General features: G+C 42.6%; 1 protein-coding gene and 2 long non-coding RNA genes across 6 annotated transcripts in view, besides 2 other annotated features; 2 read left to right on the top strand and 1 right to left on the bottom strand.

Annotated features, from left to right (window-relative positions):
* Positions 1-230: part of an enhancer, noted in NCBI's record as "NANOG-H3K27ac-H3K4me1 hESC enhancer chr4:56230743-56231431 (GRCh37/hg19 assembly coordinates)", that runs on past the window's edge. NCBI's record gives its function as "activates a minimal SCP1, AML or CMV promoter by ChIP-STARR-seq in naive H9 embryonic stem cells {active_cell/tissue: H9 hESC(naive)}" and the evidence as "EXISTENCE:reporter gene assay evidence [ECO:0000049][PMID:30033119]".
* Positions 1-8,066, top strand: part of SRD5A3 (steroid 5 alpha-reductase 3) — a 26,859-nt gene extending 18,793 nt beyond the window's left edge. For 2 of the 4 annotated variants that reach the window (NM_024592.5, XM_017008601.2), the window contains exons 4-5: positions 2,554-2,688; positions 4,798-8,066. In NM_024592.5, the coding sequence (NP_078868.1) occupies positions 2,554-2,688; positions 4,798-5,057 (395 nt within the window). In that variant the 3' untranslated portion in view covers positions 5,058-8,066. The remainder of the gene's footprint in view (positions 1-2,553; positions 2,689-4,797) is intronic. The other 2 variants (NM_001410732.1, XM_005265767.4) reach the window with 1 other exon arrangement.
* Positions 231-918: an enhancer, noted in NCBI's record as "H3K27ac-H3K4me1 hESC enhancer chr4:56231432-56232119 (GRCh37/hg19 assembly coordinates)". NCBI's record gives its function as "activates a minimal SCP1, AML or CMV promoter by ChIP-STARR-seq in primed H9 embryonic stem cells {active_cell/tissue: H9 hESC(primed)}" and the evidence as "EXISTENCE:reporter gene assay evidence [ECO:0000049][PMID:30033119]".
* Positions 1,567-20,546, bottom strand: SRD5A3-AS1 (SRD5A3 antisense RNA 1). The gene is made up of 4 exons (NR_037969.1): positions 20,511-20,546; positions 12,573-12,736; positions 9,837-9,999; positions 1,567-2,129 (listed from the first exon to the last, which is right to left on the bottom strand). It is a non-coding gene; the product is annotated as an SRD5A3 antisense RNA 1 (long non-coding RNA).
* Positions 12,760-23,238, top strand: LINC02928 (long intergenic non-protein coding RNA 2928). The gene is made up of 3 exons (XR_941060.4): positions 12,760-13,669; positions 17,883-17,946; positions 21,309-23,238. It is a non-coding gene; the product is annotated as a long intergenic non-protein coding RNA 2928 (long non-coding RNA).

Below are 26,580 nucleotides of genomic sequence, written 5' to 3' on the forward strand. Positions count from 1 at the left end.
TTTGTAAAAACAATGCATGATTATAAAGAATTCAAGTCGCTTGGGGTGATGGGAATGAGTTTATAGTGCTGAGGTTAACCTGACCTTGCAGCCTTAGTATCTGTCAGTCTAGACCCCGTAGGTCTGTAATGACCATTGTCTCTAAACCCAGGGCTCCATGTTTTCAGCTGCCCTGTCCATCCTTGTAAACTCAGGCTGAGGTCTAGCGATTTCCAACAATCTGTGAGTGAGCTTCCTCCTCAGGTTAGATTTTGGTATGAGTGCCCCGTGAAAGTCGTCTCTCTGTTGCTGTAGCTCAACCTAAGGCCTCTGACTAGAGGAGTGATTTTAAAGGATTTATTGACGATCTTTCTCAATTCATGAATTATTGATTGGCTCCAGCCACTTAGCTAGCATCTCTCTGATTCCTCTGAACTTATTCCTCCCAGGCATGTCTGTGGTGGCATTCTGCCAGCCAGTACCATGGAAGGGGCTGTCATTCCTGGTGGGCAGTGCTGGTTCTCCCCCTAAAGGAACTTTGCAGAGCGCTTGGTGACTGCTAGCTTTTAGCGTGTTCTTGTTTGTTGGCGTTACCTGCCTCTCCCGGAGTTTCCTCTACTGGCTGCGTCTCAACTTCTGCCTTCCCTCCTGCGTAGATAGTCAAGGAAGAGGAGCCCACAAAAATAGCTTTCTAAGCACTCCTTTCTGAAGCTGTTTTCTGTTTCACCTCCTTGTCCTTCAAGGGTCATCTGGGATCATTTAGGACAATATGGGGAAAGTTGGTTTCAGTAATTCATTGAGAGAAAACACATTGGGGCATTTGCCAACCAAAGGGCGTGATAGAAATAACATGGGCTCCAGAGTCTTGATGGGCCTGCATCTGGCTCATTGAGCTTCTCTGAGCCTCACAGCCTTCATTAGTAATTATTGACACATACTGATTTCACAGGGTTCTTCTTAAAGTGAAAAGAAGACTATCTGTAAACTAGGATGTAAGCTCTATAAGGACTGGGATCTTGCCTGACTTATTCCCTGCTTTATCCTTTGTGCCTTCAGCAGGGCCAGGCTTAGGAGGCACTCCTTAAGTAACTAATGAATAAACAAATAATTAAATACTGAGTAGAACTGAGGAAATGTGAGCCTTCCACCTGCCTCCCTTTTCCTGCATTATAATTCTGGCGTTACCCTTAACAAATCCTTTTTCCTGTAGGTAAACTCTCTGCATTTAGCATAAGGGACTTAGTGATTTGAACTTCCAGACACTGTAACTTTTCATCCTGTTGACTTGCTCTTGAAGCCTGTCAGATTTAAAACTGTATTTTTAATATTTTGCTTATTTCATTTTTGTAGAGACAGGTTCTCGCTATGTTGGCAGGCTGGTCTCAAACCCCTGGCCTCAAGTGATCCTCCTGCCTTGGCCCCCGCAAAGTGCTGGGATTACAGGTGTGAGCCACTGTACCCAGCCTGTTTTGAACTTATAAAAATATAACCTAGTAGTTAAATGGCTAAACTTGTAAACACTAAAAGACTATAGTAGATTGATTATATAAAACAAGCTTTTAAAATAAACTGACACAGGTAGACCGGTGGATTTTCATCAGTCCTTTACTATCATTAACGGATTCCTGCTTCGAGGTGGCCATGTGGAATTGCATGATCCTTGGTTCTCTTACTTGAATCAGCTTTTTAGGGTTCCCCCTTGGCTCCAGAGCCTCAGGCTCTTGCCCATTATCAGTGGATACATTTGTTTCTTCAGTCAAGCCTCCGACTAGGCTAACTGCTTCCTGCTGCGCAGAGGGAAGTCCCTGTTTGCTTTTCTGAAGCCAGTGGTTTGCTCCGCAGGTCCTCAGAAGGTCTGTGTTTTTCCCTTCTTCCTAGCAGCCGGAGAAGAAAGTGGAAGATGATGCTTTGAGTGTTTCCACTCCTGAAACTCAGTCTCTCGACTGTTCTTTCTCATCCAGACCTGGATGGCATTGAGTTGTTCATCTTGCAGTTTACTGTCCCTCTCTTTTGAGAAAGCCCCCTGGTAGCCTTTCCACTGGTGATTTCTTTCATTGACCAGAGCTAGTCAAGTCAGCATTCTGCTTTCAGGCTCTCCCTAGCAGGATGGTAGCTCAGAGAGAGATTTCCTTAGAAAGTGTTTTTCTTCACTGTAAAACATAAGAAAGAAGACTTAAAACTGGACTTAGCAAGGGAAACACAAAGGAATCTTACCATTCGAAAGTAGATCACAGTAGGGGAGCTGAACTTTGTGCTTGAACTGTTTAGAGAAGAAGCAAGAGAATGTGTCTGTGTGGAATTCTCTTGCCAGGGGAACTGAAGCTGCCCATAGCTGAGGAACGTATCTCCTTTGTCCAGAGAGACAGGGCTTTTCCCTCTGTATTGGGAAATTACATCAGGAAATTACATCGGGATATTGAGGAACAGGTTCCCCTCTTTGTACTTGGGAAATTATATTAGGATATTGAGGAACGGAATAAGTGGATAATTGTGTTTCTGCTGACTAAATGATTTGTTTAATTCCCTGAGCCTGTGAAATTGTTTAGTGTTGGCTAACAATTCTCATTCCTATAGCCTACATAACAGGGAAAAATCTATTGATGCAAGCACGGTGGTTCCATATTCTTGGGATGATGATGTTCATCTGGTCATCTGCCCATCAGTATAAGTGCCATGTTATTCTCGGCAATCTCAGGAAAAATAAAGCAGGTGAGACCTCTTTTAGAGCCTCTGCATATGGATTTTAACCCTCAGAAGTTAGTTCTCCATGGTCCTGCATGCTTTTCCTTCCTGCCCTAGTTAGTTGACTGTATCAAATATTGATTTTTGGCAAGACACTTCTCTGGGCCTTGATCTTCCCATCTGTGAAAATGAGAGCCTTACATTGAAAGACCTCTCTAGACCCAAGTAGCCCTGACATTCTGTGATTCTACGTTTTGTGTCTGATCAGCATGTGAGAGCTAGTGTTACCATGGAGTTAGTACCAGCCACAGCATAAAAACTTGACCTTTAAGTTAGCTTGTGTTGACTTATCACAGGTATAGTTTCCATTAGGTTTTTTGAAATATTAAAAATTGAATAGGCCAGGCGCAGTGGCTCACGCCTGTAATTCCAGCACTTTGGGAAGCCAAGGTAGGAGGATCACTTGAGGTCAGGAGTTCAAGACCAGCCTGACCAACATGGCAAAACCCCGTCTCTTCTAAAAATACAAAACTTAGCTGGGTGCGGTGGTGCAGGTGCCTGTAGTCCCAGCTACTTGGGAGGCTGAGGCACTAGAATCACTTGAACCTGGGAGGCGGAGGTTGCAGTGAGCTGAGATCACGCCACTGCGCTCCAGCTTGGGTGACAGAGCTAGACTGTCTCAAAAAAAAAAATTGAATAGTTTTATTTATTTATTTATTTATTTATTTATTTATTTATTTAATTTTTGAGATGGAGTCTTGCTCTGTTACCCAAGCTGTAGTGCAGTGGCACAATCTCGGCTCACTGCAACCTCCGCCTCCAGGGTTCAAGTGATTCTCCCGCCTCAGCCTCTCAAGTAGCTGGGACTACAGGTGCGCACCACTATGCCCAGCTAATTTTTGTATTTTTTAGTACAGACAAGGTTTTGCCATGTTAGCCAGGGTGGTCTCGAAATCCTGACCTCAGGTGATCCACCCACCTCGGCCTCCCAAAGTGCTGGGATTACAGGCGTGCACCACTACACCCGGCCTATTATTTATTTATTTTATTTATTTATTTTTGAGACAGAGTCTCACTCTGTCACCCAGGCTGGAGTGCAGTGGCACCATCTCAGCTCACTGCAACCTCCGCTTCCTGGATCCAAGCAATTCTCATGCCTCAGCCTCCCAAGTAGTTGGGATTACAGGCGTGTGCCACCACATCTGGCTAATTTTTATATTTTTAGTAGAGCTGGGGTTTCACCATGTTGGCCAGGCTGGTTTTGAACTCCTGACCTCAGGTGATCCGCCCACCTCAGTCTCCCAAAGTGCTAGGATTACAAGCATAAGCTACCGCGCCCAGCCAAAAAACTGAATAGTTTTAATATTTATCAAGTACTTATTTTGTCCCAGGCCCTGTTCTGAGTGCTTTACATATAGCTTCACAATGCCGACATGAGATGACTACAGTCCGGTCTTCATTTTACAGATGAGGAAACTAAGGCACAAAGAGGTTAAGCAACTTATCTAAAGTTACACAGCTAGTAAGTGGGAGAGCCAGGATTTAAACTTGTGCAGTCTGACTCTGGAGTAGTCTGAGCTCTTAATTACTAGCTTGGAGGATTGCTGGAGTAACTGGCTTTTCTCTTGTGCTATGGACAGTTGACAATTTAACCTAAGCATATAACTTTTCAATATGTAATTGACAGTAGAAGTGTGACAGGATGGTGGTTTACACACATGTATGATACTCTTTTCTAAATAAGAGTTTCTGGGCTGGGCAGGTTGGCTCACACTGGTAATCCCAGCACTTTAGGAGGCTGAGGTGGGAGGATCACTTGAGCCCAGCAGTTTGAGACCAACCTGGGCAACATAGGCAGACCCTGTCTCTACAAAAAATTCAAAAAATGAGCCAGGCATGGTGATGCATACCTGTGGTACTAGCCACTGGGCAGTTTGAGATGGGAGGATTGCCTGGGCCTGGAAGGTTGAGACTACAGTGAGCCATGACTGCACGACTGCACTCCAGCCTGGACAACAGAGCAAGACTTTGCCTCAAAAAAAAAAAAAAAAATTCTGTAAATGATTTGCGAGTGAAGTGGTGAAACTTTCTTTTCAAACCTTTAAATGCTTATGAGATCTTCTTTTACCCTTTCAGGAGTGGTCATTCACTGTAACCACAGGATCCCATTTGGAGACTGGTTTGAATATGTTTCTTCCCCTAACTACTTAGCAGAGCTGATGATCTACGTTTCCATGGCCGTCACCTTTGGGTTCCACAACTTAACTTGGTGGCTAGTGGTGACAAATGTCTTCTTTAATCAGGCCCTGTCTGCCTTTCTCAGCCACCAATTCTACAAAAGCAAATTTGTCTCTTACCCGAAGCATAGGAAAGCTTTCCTACCATTTTTGTTTTAAGTTAACCTCAGTCATGAAGAATGCAAACCAGGTGATGGTTTCAATGCCTAAGGACAGTGAAGTCTGGAGCCCAAAGTACAGTTTCAGCAAAGCTGTTTGAAACTCTCCATTCCATTTCTATACCCCACAAGTTTTCACTGAATGAGCATGGCAGTGCCACTCAAGAAAATGAATCTCCAAAGTATCTTCAAAGAATAAATACTAATGGCAGATCTGCGATTTCTGGGTCCACTTTCTGAGATGCTTTCTAAAACCAACCAACTGATAAAAAGTAGATGAGACTTCTCCAAGCTGCTTCACAAGCAAACTAACCGAAAAACCGAAAATATACAAACAGCTTCACACACACACACACACACACACACACACACACACACACACAAAGGAAGATCATCAATGGCTGCGGTAGCCTAGTAGGAATGGACTATATAATAATATAGCAGGTGCTCAATAACTGTTTGTTGCATTTCAGTAAAAGCAGAATAACCTTTCAAAATAATAACAGGCTGGGTGCAATGGCTCACACCTGTTAATCCCAGCACTTCGGGAGGCCAAGGTGGGCAGTTCGCTTGGGCCCAAGAGTTCGAGACCAGCCTGGGCAACATGGTGAAACCCTATCTCCGTGAAAAAATATGAAAATTAGCCAAGAGTGGTGGCACATGCCTGTAGTCCCAGATACTTGGGAGTGGGCTGAGATGGGAGAATCGCTTGAGCCCAGGAGGTCAAGGGTACAGTGAGCCGAGGTCATGCCACTGCACTCCAGCCTGGCCTGGGCAACAGAGCAAGACCCTGTCTCAAAATAATAATAATATATAATTTTACACCAAAAGTTTCAGGAAAAAACGAGTTTGTTGGAGTTAGTTTATACTTTCACATATCACCACAAAGATCTCCAGTTAAATAACTATCAATATCCATTTCCATTCATCTCCCCCTCAAATCATAGCCTAACAGAACACTTTGAAAGCTCTTTTATTTAATATTTTTTTACATCCTTTGAAGGGAGTGCTTCAAAAATGAAAGCATCAGAAGATAAAATATTTTTATATTTATGCATAGCAAGCCTTCGTGAACGGAAGTGACACACTCTGGATTGAATAATACTGTAGCCTCATTCATATGTAGTTATTCAAATTGGATTAATGTCTGTGTGAGTTTATTTGAACTAGCAGAAAGTATCTGAAGATATTCAGGAATAAAGTTTATACTTAAAATAGCTTATGTTAAAGAAAATACCTGTGATTAATTCAGAGGGAAATAAATGCATGGTATAAAAGAAAACCAAAAACTTAAAAAATAATACTATAGCCTGAGCAACACATTAAAACTGCACACTTGTGCAGCGTAAGATTCTCTGGCTTATTGGCTGAGGTGTTAAGTTTATTCCTTTTATGAAGATGTCCTATTACAGTCAGCTAAGCACTAAAGCTTTGCATTTATATGTACTTTGCTATGGGGGAAAGAACCTTATGATTAATAAGACACATATCAAATGCATAGTCAATCATTCCCACCCCCATCCCTGGAGCTGTAACCCAAAACTGTTAAACTAAGATTCCTTTGTTTTTTTTGTTTTTTTGAGATGGAGTCTCACTCTGTCGCCCAGACTGGAGTGCAGTGGTGGGATCCTGGCTCACTGCAACCTCCGCCTTCTGGGTTCCAGCGATTCTCCTCTGCCTCAGCCTCCCAAGTAGCTGGGATTACAGGCACATGCCACCATGCCCAGGTAATTGTTGTATTTTTAGTAGAGATAGAGTTTCACCATGTTGGCCAGGCTGGTCTCAAACTCCTGACCTCAGGTGATCCACCTGCTTCGGCCTCCCAAAGTGCTGGGATTACAGGTGTAAGTCACTGCTCCCGGATGCATGTCAAGCACATTGGAAAGTTCTTACAACAATTCTGATGGAGGATTTTCTCTCCCATCAACCAAACACCACTTAAGATTAACCTGTGGCTCAGTCTACTTAAATAAATGCCATATTTATTTTACTTATCATTTAGAATTTGCCATTCTCAGGAACAAAACTTTTTGTACATTGGAAATGGAAAACATTGCAGTTTGGTCTTAATTTCCACATGAATATCAAGTGTAATTTTTAATAAATTATTTGGAGAAAAATGTATTTTATTTTAGCATGCAATTTTATGCCCAGGTTAGACTAGAGATTTGGCTGATGTTCTGGAATCTCATTGTACTCTTAAGTAAAATAACGAGCATCCCATGACGCACCCTGTCAGGGGTTGTGAGAAAGCTGCAGTGTCCAGTTTCCCACCCCTGTTTCCTGCTGTCTCTCTCCCACTCATCCCTGTTTCTTACTCATCCCTTTTCCTTCTTTGCCCAAACATCATATTTCTAGGCAAAGATAAGAGAGGAGATAGTGATGTCCTGAAAGGGGTTCAGAACAACGTAGCATGGCCTTTGGTGAAAGCGTCACCGATGGGAAATAATTGAGAATTGTGCAGTGCTTGCAGCGTCAGAATCAGCACTGTTTTTTGTGTTGGTGAAAATATTCCATGTGCGTAAAGGGAGAGCATCAGGGACTTTGCAAATTCTTCACAAGGACCCAGAAATAGCTTAAAGATTCATGGTTTTCCTGTTGGCTTAAATAGCCTTAATCTTTCATTTTCTACTACCATTAAGTCGGGGAAATGACATTGAACTACCTCATTAGCAGCCTTCCCTTGATTAACTACTGACTAAAAGTGTGCTGAAAATGGCCTTTGTTTTTGTGAAGCTCATCCTATACACTAACATTTGCTTAACCATGGATTATTTTGTCTCTACAAAGCTGTGCCCTGTATTCGATTTTTACTTCAATGAGTGGTTATTGCTAGAATTCCTACAAAAAAAAAAAAAACCGTTGCAGATATTTTTGTATGTAGCTTAATAGATATTTAGTTTAAGGAGACTGCAACATTTGCATAAGGTGCCTAAAAACTCAAGAACCATTGATAAGTGAGATCACTCAAAATGAGCTGATATATTAAAGAAGACCTTAAAACAGTAAATGAGCAAGTCGAATTTCTTTACCCCTGTAACCTGTCTAAGCAACTTCTGCCCACTCTTTCACATTACTTATTGGGGGGAAAAAAAACAACATTCAACTGGTTTTTCATAAATACATTAGTCTAATCTAAGATTTTCCTGATAAATAGATAAGAAACAGTGGAGAGGCCAGTGATCCATAAATAATGCATATGATACCTCATCTTTTTCTCAAATAGCAGTGATCTCCTAGAAAGCCAAGTATTGGTTTTGGGAGAAGAAAAACCTAATTATCCAAATGAAACTATACGTCAAGAGCTACTTTATGCATATAATTGAGAAAGTATAATATCGGGTCTCTTCCTTCAAAAAGACTGAATGCTTGAAGCAATTTGAGGATACCAGTCCACAAGGGGTTTTACAACAAAAGGGCACATCTTGCTCAAGTTCAGCCCTCTGGCTTAAACCCCATGGTGCATATGCAGTCTTTATCAGAGCTCCCTGGCCTACACAGCACCTTTCTGGGAAGTAGAAAAGGCATGACCCAAGGAACAGCCCCATGGTGGCAGGGCATGAGCCTTTGTGGGCCAAAAAAGTCAGCTGGTGATGGGGCCACAGTCAGTGAGCAGAGCTCGGGATGGATCTCAGCCCAGTGTCCCAGTGTACAAACTGCACAACCTTCCACAGAGACCCTGCTCATCATGCTGCCTGCCTGTCTGCAGATTTTGTTCACTCTTGGGAAAAAAAAAACAAAAACAAACAAACAAAAAAAAAACCTTGATTGCATGGAATCATCACATTGAGAGAGACCAGGAGGAAGAAGTAAGCACTCCATGGAAAACACCTGTCCTACACACAGAAAGGGGAGTGTGGTGGTTAGCAGGTAAGTGATCCTCGAACAATAGAATGTCTGTTCAGATGCTAGAATGCTGACCCCAAACAGAAATAGTGTTTTCTTCCTTTCTGACTACTAACACCTGCCTTTCCAGCTCATTGTTTTAGTACTGCAACTCCAACAATCTCTCAACTCTACTGGGATCTCTAGTCTTTTGATCTCATCACATTTTCACTGGCATTCATTTCTCATGAGTCTTCTCTTACCTCCTTACCTGGATTAAATTCCTAGTAAATCATTATAATCAGTCCTTTATATATATCCCCAACTCTCTTGCCTCCTTACATTGCTTTTGCCTACTCACTTAGCAAAGCCAAAATCCTGGTTAAATTCAATCCTCCCTCCTTTGTGTGTGCACCTATGCAGTTGAACTGTGCCTGGAGAAATTCAGTCCATTAACAGCTCACTTTAAATTCATGACCACTAACCTCAAATGGCTTTTTTTTTTTTTTTTTGGAGACAGTCTCCCTCTGTCACCCAGGCTGGAGTGCAGTGGTGGGATCTCAGCTCACTGCAGCCTCTGCCTCCAAGGTTCAAGCAGTTCTCCTGCCTCAGCCTCCCAAGTAGTTAGGATTACAGGTGAGCGTCACAATGCCTGGCTAATTTTTGTATTTTTAGTAGAGACGGGTTCCACCATGTTGGCCAGACTGGTCTCAAACTCCTGACCTTAGGTGATCCGCCCGCCTCGGCCTCCCATAGTGCTGGGATTACAGGCATGAGCCACTTTGCCTGGCCTCAAGTGGCATTTAATGCTGCAGTCATAATAAAATTCTCTAGTCCATTTGCCACTCTCCTATTTTACATCTTTTCTTTTCTCAGAAAAGTGAAGCTATTGGAAAGAACTTGGACCGGTTGGCACCACCACTTCCACCCACCTAAGCATCTGTGTGTGCATTACCTTCCCTTGTGTTATTATTGTTGAAGTTGAAGGATCCTTTTTTTTTTTTAGTAGAATCAAGGTCTTGCTGTGTTGCCCAGGCTGGTCTTGCACTCCTGGCCTCAAGCGATCTTCCCATCTCAGTCTCCCAAAGTGCTGGGATTACATGCACTGCACCTGGCCTCTTTAAAAAAAAAAGAAAAAGTTTCTCATATAAATTCTCATATAAATATAAAATGAACATGTGCCAAAGATTTTACTTAACTCACTAATAAAGGAACCACTAAGATGTTGGAACCAGTTCAAAAAATAATCCTAAAAACAGATACATATACAGATATGAGGCATGTCAAAATGAATTTGCTTAATAGATGCACAACTGGCCTCTATAATGGGGGAGGGGAATCAACTGTGCCTCCACTGGGCAAAATTCACTTGTATGTCTATGGAAAAGAATTATTTGCATTTCTTTCAGTTGTCTGCCATTTACAGAGTTGTAAAATACCTCAAGACAATTAAAGACACAGATAATAACTTGAAGAGACTACTATATAAGACACGAGTAATATTTCTTGTTCATTTCAGCCGTTTACATTTTTTTTCCTGAAACTGTAAACAAATTTTGAATTTCTACCCAAAACTCAGCCCTCTTGAGCACTAGATTGGATTCCCTTTCACCTACCTAAGGACATTGGCCATTCTTCCCTCTATTATATCAATTTTTTGCCCTTTTCTCAACATTCCTGCTTTCTCATCAGAAGACAAATCTCTTTTTGAGGCAGGGTCCCCTTCTGTCACCCAGGCTAGAGTGCAGTGGCATGATCACGACTCACTGCAGCCTTGACCTCTCTGGGTTCAGGTGATCCTCCTGCTTCACCTTCCTGAGTGGCTGGAATTACAGGTGCGCACCATCATGTCCGGCTAATTTTTGTATTTTTTGTAGAGACGGGGTTTCACCATGTTGCTCAGGCTGGTCTTGAATTCCTGGGCTCAAGCAATTGGGCCGCCTTGGCCTCCCAAAGTGCTGGGATTACAGGTATGAGCCACTGCGCCTGGCCCAAATATGTTTTTTTTTTTTTTTTTGAGATGGAGTTTTGTTCTTGTTGCCCAAGCTGGAGTGCAATGGCACGATCTTGACTCACTGCAACCTCTGCCTCCTGGGTTCAAGCGATTCTTCTGCCTCAGCCTCCCAAGTAGCTGGGATTACAGGCATGTGCCACCATGCCCAGCTAATTTTGTATTTTTAGTAGAGACGGGGTTTCTCCATGTTGGTCAGGCTGGTCTCGAACTCCCGACCTCAGGTGATCTGTCCGCCTCGGCCTCCCAAAGTGCTGGGATTACAGTTGTGAGCCACCACACCAGGCCCAAATATCTTTATATTTATTTTACTTATTTATTTTTTTGAGAGAGAGTCTCATTATGTCACCCAGGCTGGAGTGCAGTGGTGTGATCTCGGCTTACTGCAACCTCCACTCCCAGGTTCAAGCGATTCTCTTGCCTCAGCCTCCCCACTAACTGAGATTACAGGCATGTGCCACCATGCCCAGCTAATTTTCGTATTTTTAGTAGAGACGGGGTTTCACCATGTTTGCACCATGTTGGTCTCAAACTCCTGACCTCAAGTAATCCACCTGCCTTGGCCTCCCAAAGTGCTGGGATTACAGGCATGAGCCACTGCGCCTGACCCCAAATATCTTTTTAAAACGTAACTCCATTTCCCTCACCAGATACCACCTGATTTCGCTGATTCTTTGGCAGCAAAGCTCCTAGAAAGATTAGTCTATTCTTACTAACATCAGTCCTTTCCCTCCCACCGCTAAATACCCTATAGTCACTTTTTTTATTTTTATTTTATTTTTTTTAGCTCTCAGAACTTTACTAAACTGCTCTTGAAAAGGTCTCCAACGACCATGCTGCTAAACCCGACAGTTGTTTCTCAGTGTTCATCCCAGCATGGTAGCAGTTGGTTACCTCATTTGAGATGCATTCTTTAATTGGTTCTGAGACACTACACTGTGGATTTTCCTCCTACCTCCCTGGCTGTTCCTTCCCAGGTTCCTCTGCTGATCTCTTCTGTTTCCTGATGTCTGAATGTTGAATTGCCCCAGTTCTCAGTCCTGGGTCCCTTTCTTTATCAATACTTGGTGATCTCATCCAGTCTCATAACTTTAAATACTATTTATATGCTGACAACTTCTAAATTTATATATTCAGCCCAGACATCACCCTGACCTCTAGACTCATATATCTAGTTGCCTACTTAACAGCTCTACTTGACTTGAAAAGCACTAGCTGTTCTCAAGTTTGACATGATTAAAGGTAAATTTCTGATTTTCCTCTTCCCCACACCTGATCCACCTACATTCTTCCTGTTTTTTCACTTACTCAAACCAAAAGCCATGGAGTCTTCCTTGACTCTTCTTTTTCTTTCACAATCCAGAAATCAGTGGGTCTACAGTTAGAGCATGTCCAGAATCTACCTCTGTTATCATCTTTCTACAAACTGCCATCGTGATTTTCATTCATTTTTTGCCTAGATTATTGCAACTGACTAAGTGAGCTCCCTGCTTTCCCCCTTATACCTTACAGACAATTCTCAACACAAGCTAGAGTGATCTTTCACAAACATAAATGAGATCATGCCACTACTGTCCCAAACCCTGCAACACAGCTGCCAATTTCTCTTGGAGTAAGGCTGAAGTTCTTCTACTAACCCACTAGGCCCAGTATGTTGTGGCTCCCAGTCACACACATTACCTCGTCTGCTATTCTCCTCAGTGGACTGTAGATGATCATGTATATGATGCTCCTTATACACATCAGTCATGCCCTGCTTCAGTGTCTCTGCACTGGCTTTTCCTCTGCCTGGAATGCACTTCTCCAAGATATCTGCATGGCCTTCTCACTCAGCTTCTTCAAGTCTTTGTTCAAACATCACTGTATTAGTTATTTACTGCTGTGTAACAAAGTACTCCAAGTCTTAGGAGCTAAAAACAAACATCTATTATCTCATTGTTTCTGGGGTCAGAATTCCAGATACAACTTAGCTGGGTGCCTCTGCCTCAAGGATTCTCTGCAGTCAAGATGTCCCCAGGGCTGTTGTCTCATCTTTAAGCTCTACTGAGGGAGGACCCACCTTCAAGCGCACTCACATGGTTGTTAGCAGGATTCAGTTCCCCATGGGCTCTTGAACTAAAGGCCCTAGTTCCAGGCCAGGCACAGTGGCTCACACCTGTAATTTCAGCACTTTCGGAGACCAAGGCAGGTGGATTGCCTGAGCTCAGGAGTTCAAGACCAGCCTGGGCAACATGGCAAAACCCCATCTCTACAAAAAATACAAAAATTAGTCGGGTGTGGTTGCTTGCACCTGTAGTCCCAACTACTTGGGAGGCTGAGGTGGGAGGATCTCTTGAGCCCAGGAGGTAGAGGTTGCAGTGAGCCAAGATTGTGCCACTGCACTCCCGCCTGCGTAACAGAGGGAGACCCTGTCTCAAAAAAAAAAAAAAAAAAAAAAGAAAGAAAGAAAAAGAAGAAAAAAAAAAGGCCCCTCATTGGCTGGGGCCTCCTTCAGTTCCTTGCCTCTATGGAAGGACTTCTCCATAAAGCATCTCACAACGTGGTACCCAGCTTCCATCAGAGCAAGCAAGCAAGGGCATCCACAAAGGAAGACAATCTCATTATAACTTAATCTTGGAAATTTTGTCTTGTCACTTTTGCCATATTCTCTTTGTTAGAAAGGAGTTACTAGGTCCAGCCTTATACTCAAAGAAAGAGGATACTCAAGGAAGTCCAGGAAATTCAGACTATTGGGGACCATCAAAGAGGCTGCATACCACAGCTGCCCTCTCAATAAGGTGATCCCCTTATTTAAAATTGCAACCCAACCCCCTTGTACCTCTCCTTCTCTCTTCCTCGTTCTCTCTCTATCATACACACATTTCCATTTTCCTTTCCCTTTGCTCTGGTGAGCAATAATAAATACTTATTGTTTTGAGTCACCTGGTTTTGAGGTGGTTTGTTCTGTAGAAATAAACCTCTACAATGTACTTTTTCACTTATGTGACTGACTGCCACTGCTACTGCTTGAGACCGTCATTACAAGACTGAAGGAAGGGACGGACGCAGAAATGTAAACTTAAGACAAAAGAAACTATTTTAAAGGAAGGGGAATCAGGAAAGAAGAAGAGAACTCCCCGCTTCTAGTGAGCAAAGGCAGCCCCCGAGTTTCCACAGCCTTTCTTATTTATTGGGTAGAAAGAGCAGGGAGGAGGAGGTAACGATTGGTCAGCTGCTTAATCGATCACAGGTTCATATTACTACTAACAGGCTTCAGAAGTACCTAATCACAAGAAACACTGCGCTTGGGGCGTGACTGCCCTCAGCATTCCTTCTGGTGGCAGACGCAGTTTGTCAGTTTGCCAACATTCTGCGTTTATGAGAACAGTTTGCTGTTTACTCATATAGCCTCCAGTGGTATACTGAGTTGATCACTACCCTCAATCTTTCGGCCTCCAACACACTTAGGTACATTATTTTTTGCCTGTGTTTCCTCAATGTAATGTGAGCTACATGAGGGCAAAAATTTTTGGGTTTGTTTTTATTGCTTTGTTTGCAGATATATCCCCAGCACTAGTAAAGTGCCTGATATATAGTAGACACTCAACATTTATTAAATGTATGACTCTGTTACTGTTATCTGCATAAGTAAATAGGTCTCCTGGCTTACTTTACTCTGTTGCAGAATTGCAATAATATCTTTCTTTCAAAGATTGAATGCAGTTTATATTGACGTGTGAAATGCATCTAATTGTGCATTTATATTACCAAGAATCTGGTAACAATTCTCATAAGGAAGAAGTAAAATGAAAGGCAAAATAAACGTTTAGGAATCCATAAACTGTTACAATCTTATCCACATCTTTTTGTCAGGTTTTTCGATTTTTGTTTTGTTTTTTCTTTGAGACAGGGTCTCACTCTGTCACCCAGGCTGGAGTGCAATGGCATGATTACGGCTCACACCAGCCTCGACCTCCTGGGCTCAAGCTATCCTCCCACTTCAGCCTCCCGAGTAGCTAGGACTATAGGCACAAGCCACCACACCCAGCCTTTTTCAGGTTTTATTAGAGAAATGCAGCATTTGTGGGAATTGGAATAAATATATTTACTCTTCAAAATATTAAGATTAAGACCTGTTGGTGAAGAGGACAGTGATTAGTCTTTAACTTAGAGACTTAGATCTTTAATATTTGTTCTTCCTATAAACTTAAAAAAAAAATCAGCACTTGGAGATTTCTTGCTTCCTCACATCTAGACCTATAATCCTGTGATCTGCTATTAACTAATAGCATGACTAGTGATCATGAATTTTTTTTTTTTTCCCAAGACAGAGTTTCACTCTGTTGCCCAGACTGGAGTGCAGTGGTGCGTTCTTGGCTCAGTGCAACCTCCGTCTCCCGGGTTCAAGAGATTCTTCTGCCTCAGCCTCCCAAGTAACTGAGATTAACAGGCACTTGCCACCGTGCCCGGCTAATTTTTATATTAGTAGAGACAGGGTTTCACCGTGTTGGCCAGGCTGGCCTCAAACTCCTGACCTCAGGTGATCCGCTTGCCTCGGCCTCCCAAAGTGCTGGCATTACTGGCGTGAGCCACCACGCCCAGCCAATCATGAATGTTTGACATGTAGATTGTGTAAAATCTTTGAGGTTAAAAAAAATTCATGCTACAGGAACCATGTAATCCAGTAAATGGGAAATAACTCATTCCTCTATAATGTTATCCCTCCTTTCTGTCCTTATGCAGTGAACGTAAATAATGTTCAGTGCAAAATGTAGCCCATAGTAATAGATGAAAAAGGATGGACTTTAGCTTATTAGGTTAATAAGTTACTTCTTACTACTTTAAGTACTTTAGCTTATTAGGTTAATAAGTTTCATCACCCTTTCCCACCTAATTGTCATGGCCAAATTGAACTTCCAGTCCTTTCTTCTTCTCCATCTGAAATTGTCCATAGAGTTTCCTTCTATGATTTTGCTTTTAAGACATGGAAACAAAAGGGAAAAAATGAAATCCATCACGTGATTCTCTGTATGTGCAAGCAAAACCAGAAGGATTCTCCTTTACCAAACTCAGGAAGTTTATACAGGGCACATTTGTGGAAAGAACACGGAAAACACAATGCTTACTAATGATATTTCTCCTCCTGGATCAGACAAGAAGATCAGATTTTTTATACCAGTTTTGATCAGTTTAATGCCTTATAAAAGGCAAAAAATATAATATATTATATATAATGCCTTATATAATGCCTTATATATAAAAGGACCTTATATAAAAGGACCTGTTTCCAACTCTTTACACGTTACCCTTCTGAAACAGAAGAATAGCAATTTATGTGTTCAACCTAACGTACTTAACATCTGCTATATGGAAGGCACAGAGGTAGGTCCCATGGGGAATACAGGGCTGCATAAGACAAGATTCTTGCTCTCAAAGAGCATTCATTTCAGTATGAAGATGATGTAGATTTATCAACAACCTATTGCTTTAAGTTAAGATCATGGAGGAAATCTGTCAGTGCCCATCATTTCCTCACCACCTTATCCTCTCTTCTACACAAAGCCCAAATCCTGACACCTAATAGACTATCTATAGGACCATATGCTGTGCAGTTGCACTCTCAGAAGGGGCACATGCTTGGTTTAATCCTCTGCTGTTGCTGTCTTGGAATTCTTAGTGATTTTATCTTCGAATTTGTGTTTGGTAAGTGAAGCCAGTGAGACAATGAAGCATGCACATGAGCAGTGGAAACACCCCAGCGGGGAACGCATGCATGTGTGCATGATTCAGGGCAGTCCAGAGTGCAGCTGAGCCAGTACCTGGGCCCAGTTGCAGTGGTGATGGTGGCGGGCAGCAGGAGTAACAGTCAGGACAGCAATGGCTGCGGCTCCAAAGACAGGAAAGGGCTCTGCATATGGACATTGCCAGGACCACCAGTGGGAGACCAGCTCGCCTGTCCCTTGCCAGAGCTTAGCCCCGCATCATCTGCACAAATAGTAACTCTCCATCCTGAGTACTGGGACAGGAACTCATTCTGCTAACTTCTCAGTAAATTAGTACAACATGTATACAATAAAAGTGTATACATGAATATTGTCATAGCATAGCAGGGGGTTATTAGAATTCTTAAAGGATCTAAAATGTCTAGTTTTGAAAACTACTACAACATGGCAAAGCAAATAACCTCAGGCTTAGAAACAGAAATTAAGTTTAAAGATTGTCACATTCTACAGAAAAGAATGCTATTTTCCTAGGAAGTACAAACCAATTGTTTGGCAGAAAGATAATTAAACATGTTTTTTTTCTTATAATTGAAGAGTCAGTGACAGAATACATAAACAGGCCTTATGAATTATATACAAATTATGAAGCCACTTTCAGTTTCTTGTAAGACCTCCACAAGTTTCAGGAAATATTTCCTTATGTCTGCAGAAACATTAAAATATCATTGTGTAAATTTATACTTAAAATTAAATTCAGACTTTTACAGAAAACTGAGTTGTCTAAGGAGTTAAGTCCCTTTAGAAAAATTATTCCACAAGAACCAACAACTCTAGAAGTATTAAAATTTATATTTCAAAATAATTTATCAGAAATTTACCTTAGTGTTGTCACAGTTTATGAAACACTCTTAACAGCTGCATCAGCAGAAAGATCCTTTACGAAATGAAAAATTATCAAAATTTATTTGTGACTTTATATTTCCCAAGACTGGCTGGTGTTGCTTTCAGTCTTATCTATTGGTAAAGAAATTGTATGACATAAATTTCATATCTATTGAAAATGAAAGTGAAATGAAAAGAATAAATTTTGATGAATTTGCAGAAAAGTGAGCCAGAAAAATATAATAGGACATCACATTAATGAATGATTATTGTTTACTGTATTATATAAAATTATGACATCACAATTATTAGTTTAGCAATGTTTAAGTTCATGTAGTTACTCCAGTATCACTATTATCCCATTACATTAGTATCTTTAACTGTACTTTTTTCCTGTTTTTTACAGAGGAGGTCCCATATTTTCGTTTGGCACCAGGCTCAGCGAATTACATAGCCAGCAATGACCACAAGTAAGAGTGTTACAGATTTTTGTTATAAGCCATCATAGTAGACAATGCTTGCCTATGAATGCTTAAGGAGAGTAGAAAAAGAGCAAGAAATGCAAGAAAATGCATGTTCTTAATGTGTGCCATATAAAATCTATCAGGTAATAGGCATTTAATCTATGTTAAGAGTAAAGAAATATAGCCAGGCGCAGTGGCTCACACCTGTAATCCCAGCACTTTGGGAGGCCAAGGCAGGAGGATCACGAGGTCAGGAGTTCAAGACCAGCCTGACCAATATGATGAAACCCTGTCTCTACTAAAAATACAAAAATTACCTGGTCGTGGTGGCACACGCCTGTAGTCCCAGCTACTTGGGAAGCTGAGGCAGGAGAATCACTTGAACCTGGGAGGCAGAGGTTGCAGTGAGCCAGGATTGCACCACTGCACTCTACCCTGGGCGACAGAGAGAGACTCCGTCTCAAAAAAAAAAAAAGAAAGAAAGAAAAAAAGAGTAAATAATACTGTGGGCTATAGTGCAGAATTTGTCATAAGGAAAAATCTGTTTGCATTTAATCCAGGACTGATGTCACAAAGCAATTGGGGACAATGCCTTCAATTGATGCCATTCTCATTAAAATTAGGAGTTTTGGCTGGACACAGTGGCTCATGGCTGTAATCCCAGCATGTGGGGAGGCCAAGGCAGGAGGATTGCTTGAATCCAGGAGTTCAAGACCAGCCTTGGCAATGTAGTGAGACCCTCATCTCTACAAAAAACAGAAAAAAATTAGCTGGGTATGGTGGCACGTACCTATAGTCCCAGCTACTTGGGAGGCTGAGGTAGGAGGATAGCTTGAGCCCGGGAGGTCGAGGCTGATGTGAGCTGTAATCATGCTGCTGCACTCCAGCCTGGGCAACAAGAGGGGACTCTGTTTCAAAAATAATAATAACAATTTAAAAATTATGTGTTTTGCTGTCCAGAGCATAAGTTTGACAGGGATAAACATCCATTCAAATGGGAGTCAAATTCAGGTATCTTATAAATAGCAAGCCTGTTAGATTGTCCTTCTATGAGCATTCTTTGTTTTCAAATATGGAGAACTATTTTTCTAAAGATCAGAGAAATGGCCACCACAATATGGGCCCACCTCATCTATTTTTGGTTTCTTCAAAAATGATGACTCCAATGAACTTTGCAGTAAAAACAAAATGACAATAAAGATGACTTACTTGTGAAAAATAAACAGCAGGGAAAAGCACTGAAGCCAGATAAACCAAATCTGCTTCCCATAAAGTGAAAAAAGATCCACTGAATTATAATTGTTTTTATTTTCATATGATGATTGTTGCATAAAACTAATTTGTTGCTGAATTAAGAAACATAAGACACATATTTACCCTAAATAATTTTAGTTCATCTCCTGGCTTTTAGTGAAATTATCGATTTCTAGGTGATATAATTTGTGTGCCGGCTGGGCAAAGTGGCTCACACCCGTAATCCTAACACTTTGGGAGGTGAAGGCAGGAAGATCACTTGAACCCAGGAGTTCAACACCAGCCTGGGCAATAGGGTGAGACTGTGTCTCTACAAGGAATTTAAAAATTAGCGGGGCATGGTGGTGCACGTGTGTAGTCTCAGCTACTCGGGAGGCTGAGGCAGGAGGATCACTTGACCCTGGGAGTGAGCTGTGATCACGCCACTGCCCTCCAGCCTGCATGAAAGTGTGTCAATGCTTTTTTTTCCTCCTTCTTTTTATTTTTATTTTTTCTTCACTCTGTCACCTAGGCTGGAGGGCAGTGGTGCAATTATACCTCGCTGCAGCCTCTATCTCCTGGGCTTAGGTGATCTTCCTGCCTCAGCCTCCCGAGTAGCAGAGACTACAGGCACATGCCACCATACTCAGCTATTTTTTTTTTAATATTTTGTGGAGATGGAATTTCACCATGTTGCCCAGGCTGATCTCAAATTCCTGAGCTCAAGCAATCTGCCCACCTCAGCCTCCCAAAGTGCCGGGATTGCAGGCATGAGCCACTGTGCCTGGCCCAATGCTTTTAATGGGCCCATTTTAGCCACATTTCTAGTACTTATATTATTCAAATAGACTCAGAAAAGCTGTAAGCCTGTACAGAATTACAGTGTAAGACATCATAAACAATGTTTTAAAAATTAGAAAAACCAATTGCAATACATGTAAGAAAGAAAAAATAAATATTCACAATATATAAACCGCTCTTACAAATCAGTGAAAACACAACTTTACAGCATGACAACTTTGAAAGAGGAACACCAGATAAGAACTGTCTGGGGCGAGCATAGAAGAGTCTCATTCCTCTGTCTGAGTGGTACTGGGTGAGTGGAATGGTTGGTGATTATAGGCTGACAAAGCCCTAGGCTTTTTCTTAGCCCCAGCTCCCTGCCTTCTCCCCTCACTGCCCCCTCCTGTGGGGGCACTACCTAGCAACTGAGGTTTGGGTTTTACAGTGAAAATAATTTTATGAGTCAGAAAGGAGTGAGAAAAGTGTGTTATCAGATAGCATTCCACAGTGGTAAAAGCAAAACAAACAAAAAACAGGACTATTTCTCTACATACTGTCTGGGACTTTGGGACCTTCACTGCAGACCTCTTGTGGCAGTGTATGTGTGATTCCAGTCGTATGGTGGGTATGTGGTTAGGGTATTATTACATCGTAGGTCTATAAAGGGCCAAGCCCCTTGCTCCGACATGCAAAGAAAGGATTGCAAACTGGCAGGCTGCAGGTCATACCGTGCTCATAGACAGCTACTGTTTTGTATGCACAGTTTTTAAAATTGTGAATTAGTGTAATGGTTAATTATATGTGTCAACTTGGTTAGGCTACGGGGCTCAGTTTTTTGTTACAACACTAATAACAATGTGGCTGTGAAGATATTTTGCAGATATAGTTAATATCTACAACCAGTTGACTTTAAGTAAAGGAGTCTACTTTCAATAATGTGGGTAGGCCTCATCTAATTAGTTAAAAGCCTTAAGAGCAAAATCGGAGATTTCCTGGAGAAGGACTTCTGCCCCAGGATTGTAACATAAAAATCTGGCTTGAGTTTCCAGCCTGCTGGTGTTTTCTAAGATTTCAGACTTGTTGTATGCCTCCTACTGGTTCTGTTTCTCTGGAGAACCCTGACTGATATAGTTACTATGACACAGACTATTAATTGCTGACCCCAAGAGCCTTTCTCCCTTTATTCCCTATAGTAAGTGCCTCTGAAATAGAGACTACATTTCCCAGCTTCCCTTGCAATTAGCTGTCACCATGCAGCTAAGTTCTAGCCAATAAGATGTAAGCAGATGTGGTTTGTGGCAGCTCCCTTGAAACATACCTGATGCATACCCTGTGTCTCCTTGTTTTTCCAGCCAGTCCTCCATCCTTCTGCTGGGAACTTGGATGCTAGAGCTCTTGCAGTCACACTGGGCCATGAAGATAAAGGTCACCCCCTAGGAATGATAGAGCAGAAAGCTGGAAGGAACCTGGGTCCCTGATCTCTGTGGAGCCACTGAACTGCCTCTAATGAAGGAAAACATTTCTCTCATTTATGCTGCATGTTCTTTTCGATTTTATGTTATATTTAGTGGAGTATAATCCTAATTTGATACAATTGCCAACTTTTAAAAATCAGGAAATTTCACACAAATATTCAGCTCTCTGGCTTTTCTCTTGAAAATTTGGTACATCTGACAAAACATGAAGTCATGCTTCCCATTGCAGCAACTGACCTGGGCAGGATAATGGATGCCTGCTTCAGACAGGGATGGAGACCTCACCAATTTTTTTTCCTTCATTTTAATTGGGAAGTGGGGCAAGATGGAAAAATTGTGGATGCCAACTTTGTAACTTTGTCTTTCTCCCTGCATCATTTTTAGCAAGAACATTTCGACACTGGTGTAGTCCACAAGGGAAGATACTGAGAGAGGAGAAAGGAAGAAACCTTTCAGGCATCAGTTAGGGTGGGTCCTTGGTTAAATTCTTTCAAACAAAAGAACAGCCTGAAAAATCAAGCTGCAGGCACAGATAAGGGGATCTGCACAGGTGGCCTTGACTAAGACATTCCCACAGCCACACAGATATGAAAGCCTACCCAGATGACTTGCCCAGATACTTCTGCAGTGGAAAATTCCATCCCCTGACACATGCGCAGTAAGGGGAAAAAAGCAATATGGAATAAAACTTAAGCTAAGGGCCCACATGCACACTAGAAGGATGAGGTGGAGCTACCAGAAATTCATGCCTTATGCAAATGAGATGCCCAGCCCTCACCGGTTCTTATAAAAGCCTTTGCAGTCACCTGTAAAAGCAGCAACCCTCCTCCAGGTCCCCTCTCCACTGTGGAGAGCTTTCTTCTTTTGCTTATTAAACTTTCGCTGCAACTTCATCCTTTGCATCCACGCTCCTTAATTTTCTTGGTCATGAGACGAAGAACTCCAGGTGATACCTCACCTGCTACATTATGGAGAGACTGCTACATTATGGTGCACTGGTGAAAATATAACATTTCTGATGGTGGTGGAAGCAGAGGCCATCCTTTGCTGTTTCATGCCCAATTCTGTAGGCCTGCCTCAGAGAGAAGGGGAGCACAGGTCTCAGCATCCACAGACTTTTCATGGCGGTGAAGCTCTACTATCAACACTTGGAAAGAGGGAATCAGAGGGTCTTCTACTCCATGGCTGCAACTTTTTCTCATTTTAAAGATCCTCCTCTAGTCTAATGGATTTATATTTCTCTGGCTGACGTAATTTTGACCCTACTTCTTGGTAATACCCGAGCCTTAATTTGATGAAAGAGTATCACTCCCACCTAATTTCCAACCACCTCTCTGCCCTGAGTAGCTTCATCAAAATTCACACCTTGCTTGACAATGGAGAGAAGATTTCGCCTAACCTGGGGGAGGATGGAGGGGATGGAGGGTATAGCCTCAGTTGCTGTCAGACCTAAACCAGACTTGGCAATAATTGGGGGAGGTGGAGTGCCCTGGGTTGAAGGAGTCTTGGTGAGTTAAACACCCATTATTGTCTTTGGCTGTAAATGAACTCAAGGTCACTAGGAAGTGAGTGGAAAGTCAGATGAACTCTGTCTCTCAGAGGCAGGCCAAGGGCAAAGAAGGCACAGAAGCCACTTCAAAACTTTCAGGCCTTTTGGGAGGAAAGGGTGGGTATGGAATGAGGCTGACTTTCAAAGATGAAGCTGTGACAGATCAGAAATCTGTATTTTTGAGCCAGACTATGTCTGTGTCTAGGTTTGCCTTTGTCTTTTTGTTGTCAGAATTTCATTAAACTAATTATTCATTCATGTATGAGTGTCTTCTACAGCCAGGAACTCTTTAGACAAGATTCTGGCCCTGATGACACTTACGTTTTAGTTGCCAATACAGATAATAAATATAAGAAGTAAACAAAGGCCGGGCATGCTGGCTCACACCTGTAATCCCAGCACTTTAGGAGGCTGAGGAGGTCAGATCATTTGAGGTCAGGAGTTCAAGACCAGCCTGGCCAGTATGGTGAAATCCTGTCTTTACTAAAAATACAAAAAAAAAAAAAAAAAAAAAAGAGCTGGCATGATGGCACATGCCTGTAATCCCAGCTACTCGGGAGGCTGAGGCATGAGAATTGCTTGAACCCAGCAGGCAGAGGTTGCAGTAAGCTGAGATTGCACCATTGCACTCCAGCCTGGGTGACAGAATGCGACCCTGTCTCAAAAAACAAAAAACAGGCTGGGCACAGTGGCTCATGCCTGTAATCCCAGCACTTTGGGAGGCCGAGGTGGGCGGATCACTTGAGGCCAGGAGTTCAAGACCAGCCTGGCCAACATGGTGAAACCCCGTCTCTACTAAAAATACAAAAGTTAGCTGGGCACAGTGGTGCGTGCCTGTAATCCCAGCTACTCGGGAGGCTGAGGGAGGAGAACTGCTCAACTGGGACTTGGGAGGCAGAGGTTGCAGTGAGTGGAGATCACGACACTGCACTCCAGCCTGGGCTACAGAGTGAGACTCTGTCTTGAAAAACAAAACAAAACAAAAAAAGAAGTAAACAATTAGATAATCAGCCTGGGCTACAGAGTGAGACTGTCTTGAAAAACAAAACAAAACAAAAAAAGAAGTAAACAATTAGATAATCAAGATGGCCAGGTGTGGTGGCTCACACCTTTATCCCAGCACTTCAGGAGGCCAAGATGGGCAGATCACTTGAGGTCAAGAGTTTGAGACTGGCCTGGCCAACATGGCGAAACCCTGTCTCTATTAAAAATACAAAAATTAGCCAGGCGTGGTGGCATATGCCTGTAGTCCCAGCTACTCAGGAGGCTGAGGCAGGAGAATCGCTTGAACCCAGGAGGAAGAGGTTGCAGTGAGCCGAGATCGTACCACTGCACTCCAGCCTGGGCAACAGAGCAAGACTCTGTCTCAAAAAAAAAAAAAAAAAAGATAATTTCAGATAGTGATAAGTGCTATGAAAAAACTTTCAAAAATCCCCAAACTTAAAAAGAACCAACAATGAGACAGAGTGACAAGGGTGAATGGAAGAGTCTATTTTAGATGGGTGGTCTGGGAAGGCTGCTCTTGAGGAAGTGAACTTTAACCTAAATGACCAGAATAAGACCTAAAAAAAAAAAAAAAAAAAAAAAAGAGTGTTCTCAGAAGAGAAAACCAGAAGTATGAAGAGTCTGAGGTGGAAATAAGCTCTTGGTTGGGCATGGCACATGAGGTGGAGAAAGCCAAGAGACAAGGTCACACAGGGAGGCAGGGGTAGCTCACATTAAACTTTCTTTTCTTTTTTTTTTTTTTGTTTTGAGACAGAGTTTCACTCTTGACACCCAGGCTGGAATGCAATGGCGTAATCTTGGCTCACTGCAACCTCTGCCTCCTGGGTTCAAGCGATTCTCCTGCATCAGCCTCCCGAGTAACTGGGATTACAGGCGCCTGCCACCACACCCAGCTAATTTTTGTATTTTTAGTAGAGATGGGTTTTTGCCATGTTGGCCAGGCTGGTCTCGAACTCCTGAGCTCAGGTTATCCACCTGCCTCAGCCTCCCAAAGTGCTGGGATTACAGGTGTGAGCCAACGCACCCAGCCGAGCTCACATTAAACTTTCATTCAGAGATTGTTTTATCTTTATTCTCTGCCCATTTAGAAGTCATTACTTTTAAGCAGTGGAATGAAATTATTTTAATTTTGAAAGCTCATTCTGGCTGCTGGTTAGATTCTAGATTGGCAGAGGCAGGGAGACCAATTAGGAGCCCATTTAATTGTCCAGGTGAGAAATGACACCTGGTTTGTACAAGGTGGTAACAGTGGAGATAGAGGTGAACAGATTCAGATAGATTTTAAAATTAGAGACAAAATTTGCTGGTGGATTGGATGTGGGGTATGGGGAATCTAATGGAGTAATCTAATATGGTGGATGTTGGTTCCATTTACTAAGATGGAAAGCCTGAAGGAGGAACAGGTTTTTGGAGGGACATCAAAAGACCTGTTTTGCCCTTGCTCTGTTGGAAATGCCTGTGAAACATCCAGAAGGTGATGCAAGGAAAGAGTTGGATAAATGAACCTGGAGCATGTATTTAGCATTCTTTTTGGAATTTTCAGCCTGCTTGTGGAAACCTAGGAAAGCCCAAGAATGTAGGGAAACAGCTGCCCTCCCTTTCCCCTGCACCAGCAGAGTTCGCATACAAGGGTCCAGATCCCCATCATTTAAAGGGGTTTAGCAAGCTGATGGGTAGCAGTGTGCTTCGTTTCATGAGCTTTAAAGAGTTGAGAAGGTCAAGCAAGTTGCATATTGCTATTCGTCATTCACTTACATTTGCTGAGTGCTTTAATTTTTTTTTTTTTTTTTGAGACAGAGTCTTGCTCTGTTGCCCAGGCTGGAGTGCAGTGGTGTGATCTCAGTTCACTGCAACCTCCACCTCCCGGGTTCAAGCCATCTCCTGCCTCAGCCTCCCAAGTAGCAGGGACCACAGGCACACGGCACCACACCCAGCTAATTTTTGTATGTTCAGTAGAGATAGGGTTTCACCACATTGGTCAGGCTGGTCTCAAACTGCTGACCTCAGGTGATCCAGCTGCCTCGGCCTCCCAAAGTGCTGGGATTACAGGTGTGAGCCACCGTGCCCAGCCTGAGTGCTTTAAATTTGAATGATCTTCAGTTGACTCTTAGCGTGAAGTTTCTGGTTTTTGCTTCTCCTCTTTCCTCATATCTCCCTGCCCTGGCTTCTTTAACCAACCTTTGCTCTGTGGACTATTTAAGGAAAAAACTTTAATCGGCCCTTTGCTGATTATGGGGAAGGAGGGTTCTCCAGCAGAGCTCAGGAAATAGCTCACTTCTCCCTATTTCTGAAACATTGAGGATGAAAACAGAGAGTGACACAGACAGGAGGCCGGGTTGGAAGGAATAGTTTTAGGTCTGGTGGCCAGGTGGACTGGGCTAATACTGAACTCCAGAATCAAGAGCTGTTGAGTTGCAGGCTGCACTGGGCTAGGGGCAAGCCCTGGAGAGAACAGCAGATAATGTTTTTCCCTTAGGGGTCTGTCTCCCCAGAGGAAGAAGGCAATGAAGCTGAGCCCAATATGCTCAGTTACCCTGCTCAGATGGACTCTACATTATCAGAGGGGAATGACGAAGGCACTGAAAGAGGCCAGGA

This window comes from Homo sapiens, chromosome 4 (genome assembly GCF_000001405.40).
Source record: "Homo sapiens chromosome 4, GRCh38.p14 Primary Assembly".
Lineage (NCBI taxonomy): Eukaryota > Metazoa > Chordata > Mammalia > Primates > Hominidae > Homo > Homo sapiens.